Raw genomic sequence first — 8,001 nt, forward strand, 5'->3', positions numbered from 1 at the left:
ACATATTACTTCTTGGAAAAACTGGCACTCATACTCTTCCCCATTTGTTGTGCCTCAACCTCCAGCCATCCATTCATCCTTCCCTTCCCTAATCCCCTCTCTCTATTCTTTGGAAGTCACAGAAGTTTTATATTAAGCATCATAATTCTCCACAATAAACAAAAGTATTAGGCATTTTCATGAAATAATCATTAGTCATTGGTATTATTTTTACCAGAATTAAAAACATTTCCGATAACTGAAAATTATGATTTGGTAAGAGGTAATGTCTTTGATCCTCCCTGCAATCTGGCTTTACTGGTGGTGGTAAATGAAACAATCCTCTTGCCCTGCTATAATTGTCTGCTATATTATATTCTTTCACGGAATTGTAGCTGAAGAGAAAGTAGAGATCATTCGCTGTGGGGAACATATTGAAGATCATAGATGGACCTCATGGTAAATATTTTTCCAAAACCTGCACCTTTTCAGACCAGTAACAGACCGACGGATGTGAAATGGATATTCTTTTTAACATGGATGTTAAATGTTTAACTGAGGCAATGGTTGATTGACATGTGTCTCTGTACATGAGAAACAAAGAAACCTGCTTTTCTTGTCCCAAGCCATCTCCTGGAAGCCTTTGCTCAGTTCGGTTAGTGCCCTTAGGTCAAACAAACAGAAAATTAAGAAAACAACATTCAAAGAAATGGTGGGTGGCAGAACAGTTGGAAGGATTGGAAAGGGCTCAGTATTTGCTTTATTTCTTCTGAGCTCATTACTTGCTCTGAGTAGGTTAGCCAGGAAGGGAAGATAAACACTATTTAGTTAATAAGTCCCATAAGAATCCGGCAGAATGTCTTTTCTGATTTACCATTGTATGGTTGGAATAAGCACAGTAACCTCTTTGCTTGTACCTTTTTCCCAACCAACTTTGAAGTCTACGAATAATTTACAGTGTGAATAAATGGCATGAGCAGGCTTTTCTCAGGTTAAGAATGTGAAATGTGTGTGAGACACGTTATGGGAAAAGGCAACATTATTTGGGCCTCATCTCTTAAGGCAATCAAATAGAAATATTTCCTGACTCAATATTTGCAGCCTAAAACTGATTTTCTTCTTTCCAGTTTGGGTAGTTAAAAAGCAGGAAGGAACGTGTCTATATTTTTTAGTAGTTGGTGACCCAAATTGACCCTCATGATTCATTCACCAGCTTTGGTCCCTATCAAACAAATAAAATCCCTTTAAGAGCTGGTTAAATACAGTGCTGGTGTAAACCAATTCTCCTCACATGGTTGAGCAGTGGGGCATCCTTGGTTTTCCGTACCTTAGGACCAAATGTAAATGTTCAATTCAATTAACCTTAAAAAAACATATGTGGCGATAGGGGTAGGAGAAGAAGGACAAAGGAAAAAGAAAAAGGGATTAGAGAAAAAAGGATATTCGTGGGATTTTCATTTAAATTTAATAAAATAATTTAAAAATAACTATGCCATGAAAATAAACAGTAATCGACAAGTAGTGAGGCTAAAATAAGTTTTATGTTATCTTTCAGAAAGGGAACAACTCTACATAATGTTGATGAGGCATTATAATGTGCACATTGATGGCTTTTGTTGAATCATCTGCACTCTCTGGTTCCCAGTGTGGTTGACCATGTACATTAAGGGATGGTAAGGGATAGAGTCTGTGCAGTGGAATTTCTTTCAATCTGAAACTATTTTGTCTATATTGAGTCTGTTTCTTTATGAAAAAGTTGAAAATAAGTAAATAAAAAATATGAACTTTAGCTTAAGTATTCTATCTTCTAAATTACTGAGGACCCAGTCACTTTTAAATTGACAATCTCCATAACAGGACAACATCACTAGTAATTATAAATAATTCTAAAGGAATCCTTGTATATCAGTAAAAAATTCTGTGAGCATCTGCTTTACCAATTAGATAGGCTGGTATTAAAACTCTGAACCTATGAAAAAGTATTGAACTTTGGAGTATTTATGAAAATATAGAAAAATTTAAAAAAATATGGATATAGATATTTTTTTCCATTTCAGTGTACTTCTCAACTGTACAAAATTAATAAAAATGTGGCATTATTACAGATATCATACTGAAGGAACAAGAGGTCCACAATGAGTAGAGATAGCTGTAGGTAATAATAATCTTTTTATTTTTGCTTATTTTAGGGCATAAAATAATTTATTTGAAAAAGGTTGCTGTTAATGGGAAATATCATGGTGCCCATGTTTTTGCCTAATGGTGTACTGTTTTCAGCTCAGATCCTGAACAAATAGTATCAAAGAAACAAAACTAATTGAACAACACAAGAACCCTTGTGTTAGACAACAAAGATGCAGGACCTAGCAAACCAAAAGAAAGTCATTCTTGGAGCACCAAACAGTAAACAGCAGGCATTCCTTAAAAACACTGTGGTCAAAGCTTTGGTACTCAAGAAGAACTTAGAGCTATCACAAATAGACTGTGAAAATATGTAAATGTAAGGGTCATAATAAAATGAATTGAACAGCATCATAGGCAGGGTGGAAGAAGAGAAGCATAGGATCCACAGAGGAGAAGCAAGAAGGGAGCCCCGGAGAGGACAACAGAAGGGGAAGGGAAAGCGAGATCTGAACAAACACCTTCTGTGTAGTCACATGTGAATAGTTTTTCCACTTCCTTAAAAGGACAGAATAAGAAATCCTACCTAAACCCAGTACATATTATATTTTGCTATATATAGACATTAGGCTATTATATAGTAAGTTATGTAAACAACAGACTTTACTGATGCTCATGTGGAATCTGTACCTTCAAGAATTTCCACATTTTCAAGTAGAATATATATATACACATCTGGCTCTTTCCTGAATTATGTTAGTTAAGGTGCCACATATCATATTATATATGAACAACCTTCATTGTAGTTTTTTTATTTTTTAAGTTATACCATGGAGTTCTTGTGAACAGGAGAATGAATTATAAATTACAAAACCATCTTGAGGAGAAAGTGCTGGACATGCCTGAGTCTTATGTACCTGCTTTGCAGGGTACGCTGTTGAAAATCATCCCCCAGCAAAATTAAATGACCATGTCACAAAGCTTCATGCTACCCTTGAGTAGTAGAATATCACAATGTTCAATTCCAAAACGGTAATTACTGCTCATCATTTTCACATGACAGTATGAGGTCACTTCTCAAAAATCACTGCATCGTTTTTATAAAATTTGATTTAAAGACCAGATTTTATTGCCCCATATGGCAATTTGGCAATAGTCTCTAAACTTTAAAAATTTTCATCTTATTGGAACTAGGAACTTATCTTCATGGGTATGCTCAAGAATTAACTTTAAGTATGCTTATGATGCTGTTGAAAATAATATAGAAAAGTTGGAGGAAAAAACTCTAAGTGTCTCCTCTGATCCATTAAATTTGTTCAATGTAATTTGTACATTCCATAAACGGAATTCTTAATAAAAATTATTTAATAGCCTAGAACATAGTCATGGTATCGTTACCTTTGAGCATAAGATTTATGTGAGATAATTTATTGCCTATGGTGATTTTTAAACTATGATAAACCTATATTATTGTGTAATTAAAAGATAAAAGACTAAAAATTAAAATATAAAAATTCTAGTTTTTTAGGATGGGCAGACCAGTGGAATGATATCTGCCATTACATATTTCCTTAACATAGCTTATTCTATTCTGCATGTAACATGGTAGACTAGTAAATCTCACAAAGATAAATGAGTATCAATTACTGAATAGCCACCTGGTCATGTACTAGATACCCTGGGAAAATAACCAAAGAGATTCATTCCATACCTTCAGAAAGCTCATGCCAATTGGCTGTAACTCAGAATTAGAACTTGTTAGAAATACAGGTTCCTAGATAGACTGAATCAGAGCCTCTGCAAGTAGAGCCTGGTCTACAGATGAACACTGAACAACCAATAAATTCAGTTTAGGGAAATAATTTATGCAAAACAAACATTGATCTAATCACACTGGAATTTCTGTATTGACCAAAGAACTACGTGAAGTATAAATTATTTGAAAAGATGCAGCTTCAACATACACAAATCAATAAATGTGACACACTGCATTAACAGAATGAAGGACAAAGATAATATGATAATCTCAATAGATGCAGATAAAGCATTTGACAAAATCCAACGTCGCTTCATGGTACAAAAAAAAACAAAATACCTCAACATATTAGGTATGGAAAGAATGCACCTCAACACAAAGGACCCCATATGACAAACCCACTGCTAGCATTACACTCAACAATAAAAGATTGGAAGCATTTTTCCCCCTCTAATATCAGGGATGAGACAAGGATGACCATTCTCACCACTTCTATTTAATATAGTACCCAAAGTCCTAGCCAGAGCAATTAGGTGAGAGCAAGAAATAAAAGCCACCCAAATTGGAAAGGAAAAAGTTCAACTGTTCCTATTTGCAGACGGCATGATCTTACATCTAGAAAATCCTAAGGACTACGTTAAAAAACTCTTAAAACTAATAAATGAACTCAGTGAAGTTGCAGAATACAAAATAAACACACAAAATCCGTAGTGTAACAACCAGTAGTGTAGCAATCTGAGAAAGAAATCTTAAAAATTTTCATTTATAATGGATACAAAAATTACTTAGGAATAAATTGAATCAAGGAAGTGAAAGACTTGCACACTGAAAAGTATAAAACATTGATGAAAGAAATTGAAGAAGACTCAAATGAATTGAAAGATATCTTGTGTTCCTGGATTAGAATTAATATTGTTAAAATGTCCAAACTACCCAAAGCGATCTAGATATTCAATGCAGTTCCTATCAAAATCCCAGTGACATTTTTTCTTCACAGAAGTAGAAAAAAGAATCCAAAAATTTGTATGGAACTACACAAGACCAAATAGCCAAAGCAATCTTAAGCAAAAAGAACAAGGATGGAGGTATCACACTAAGTGACTTTAAAATATACCACAAAGCTATATCGAACAGCATGGTACTGGCATAAAACCAGACACATATAGTAATAGAACAAAATAGAAAGCAAAAAAATAAACCCATACATTTACAGTCAATTAATTTTCCACAAAGGTGCTAAGAACACACAGTAGAGCAAGGACAGTCTCTTCAATAACTGTTGCCGAGGAAACGGAATATTCACATGCAGAAGAACGAAATAGGACCCTAATCTCACACCATATACAAAAGCCAACTCAAAATGGATTAAAGACTTAAAAATATAACCTGACACTGGAAATCTACTAGGAGAAAACATACAGGAAAACTCCATGACATTGGTCTGGACAATGATTTTTTGGATATGACCCCAAAAGCACTGACAATGAAAGCAAAAATAAACAAATAGGATTACGTCAACTAAAAAGCTTCTGCCAAGCCAAGGAAACAATTAGCAGAATAAAGCAACAACTTATGAAATAGAAGAAAATATTTGCAAACCATATATCTGATAAGGGGTTAATATCTAAAATATATAAGGAACTCAAACAGCTCAATAGCAAGAAAACAAATAAGCTGATTTAAAAATGGGCAAAGGACCTGAATGGATATTTCTCAAACGACGACGTGGAAATAGACAACAGATGTATAAAAAGGTACTCACTATAATTAATCATCAGAGAAATGCAAATTAAAACCACAATGAGATACTGCCTCACACCTGTTAGAATGCTATTTTCAAAAACATGAAAGATAGCAAGTATTGGTGAGAATGGGGAGAAAGGGGAATCCTTGCACATTGTTGGTGGGAATGTAGATTAGTACAGCCATGATGAAACAGTATGGAGGTTCCACAAAAAAATTAAAAATAAACTACCACGAGGTCCATAAATCCCACTACTAGCAATTTTTTTTAGGATGCGGAATGACACACAGTGATAGTTACACTATATAAATATTAAAGTGTTTAATCCTTATGATAACCATAGGAGGAGAAAAGTTATATTATCCTATAGGAAACTGAGGCAGAAATGTTAATTAAGTTTTCTAAGGAAAGTTTTTAAGTAAATGGAAGATAGAATTTGAATCTATGCAATTTGGGTACAGAGTCCATGCTTTTAGGTGCTGTATTATTGGCTTTTCACACTATTACACCTTTATTTTTTTCAGTTGCCAGTGAAGTTACTGGACTCATCAGTAGTCTAGGATATGATGTGCTAGCTAATGACCTCAAAAATCTCAGTGGCTAGCAACTTCAAAAGTATATTTCATACTCCTGCTACTGGTACATTGCAGAGTGGCTGCAACTGTGCTTCTATGTTTTTTCCATGTAGGGACCTAGGCTGGCAGAGCAGCTTCTATCTGGAACATTGCTGTTATCGTGGCAGAAGGCAGAGACATACCAAATGTTGGTGCTTAAAAATCTGGGAAATAATTTATGCTGCTTGCTCCTATATTTGGCAAAAAAAGTCACATGACAAAGCCTTCCATTAATGGGACTGGGCAGTAAAATCCTCCCCAAATGAAGAGTATCAAACATTTTTGAACAATCTTCCACAGTCTCAATTACTTATTATAATTGTAACAATATATTTATTATTATTATTATTTGTTTTCCTTGTTCAACTTTAAGCCCCTGTCTTCAATATTCAACACTTTCTATTCAATGCCTCATACAGTATTTGGCATCCAATAGGCACATCGCAATTATATTGAAGAGATAAATGAATGCACATATTTGTTGACAGCCAGGGATGGGCATGGTAAAAGGACAAACTTTAGTATCAGGTAAATTCTGGGCTCCAGTCTTAATTCTGTCCTTAGTTACTGTGGAATCTGGCAAATTAGCCTTAATAAGCTTCAGTTTTTTTCATTTTTAAAATAGGAAAAATAGGCCAGGCTCGGTGGCTCACACCAGTAATCCCAGCACTTTGGGTGGCCAAGGCAGGCAGGCCAGGAGTTCAAGACCACTATGGCCAACATGGCAAAACCCTGTCTCTACTAAAAAATGCAAAAATTAGCCAGGTGTGGTGGCACACACCTGTAGTCCCAGTTACCTGGGAGGCTGAGGCAGAAGAATCACTTGAACCCAGGAGGTGAAGGTTGCAGTGAGCCAAGATTACAACACTACAGTCCAGCCTGGGCCATAGAGCAGGAATCTGTCTGAAAAAAAAAAAGGAACAATTACTGTGCTTACCTCATGAGGCTGTTCCAATGATTAAATGAGATAATGTTTGCAAACATAATGGTGGCCATAGTAACTATTATTTGTTTACCACATATTATTCAATCTAATGCTTCATAAAAGTAAAACACAAGGTGCACTATTATTTTGTAGTTTACTCTCTTCTACATAGAAAGAAGATAGTTACCAATAAAACAATTACATAACACATTTAAGGTGGACTCAATTTCAGAGTTGTTAAAATGTCAAAAATGTGCTTTTTTACAATTGATGACATTTATGTATTAGAAAGTCAGAAATTCATAAAAATACTTTTTAAAAATAAAATTAGGGATTTATGAATGGGCAAATTATACTTAAAAAATAGAGATTTATCTCTATCTGTAGTGTATCAGACACTCTGAGTTGCTTATGTAATAATGATTTTTTCCACCCACTACTCCTTCTTTCTAGAACAAATCCTATGTTTTGTTATTTACAGTGTGCCCAGGGAAGGCAACAAATTCTACTTTCTAGTCTCCAGAAAGGTAAGTATACATTTAATTCAATTATGGTCTCAATCCCTTTACTTGTGATTGGTTTAAAACAGTTATATGACCTAATTCTAGCCAGTGGGACCTGAGGGAAATCTCCCTTCTACCTTTTGGATAAGTGTTTCTTCCTATTTAAAGACCTTTATATGAGGAAACACCTCCCTTTGCTGGACAGAGATAGTGCCTGGTGCCTGCAACCCCAGTTGTGTTGCAACAAAGGAGGGAAAATGTTGGGACTTACAGGTGAAAGTCTCCGAGTCAGTAAGCAAAAATTAGTCATTTGTTCCAGAAAGGAAATGTAGGAAATGTGACTTGACCGTTTTGAGGCT

The sequence above is a fragment of the Homo sapiens genome, chromosome 10 (assembly GCF_000001405.40).
Source record: "Homo sapiens chromosome 10, GRCh38.p14 Primary Assembly".
NCBI lineage: Eukaryota > Metazoa > Chordata > Mammalia > Primates > Hominidae > Homo > Homo sapiens.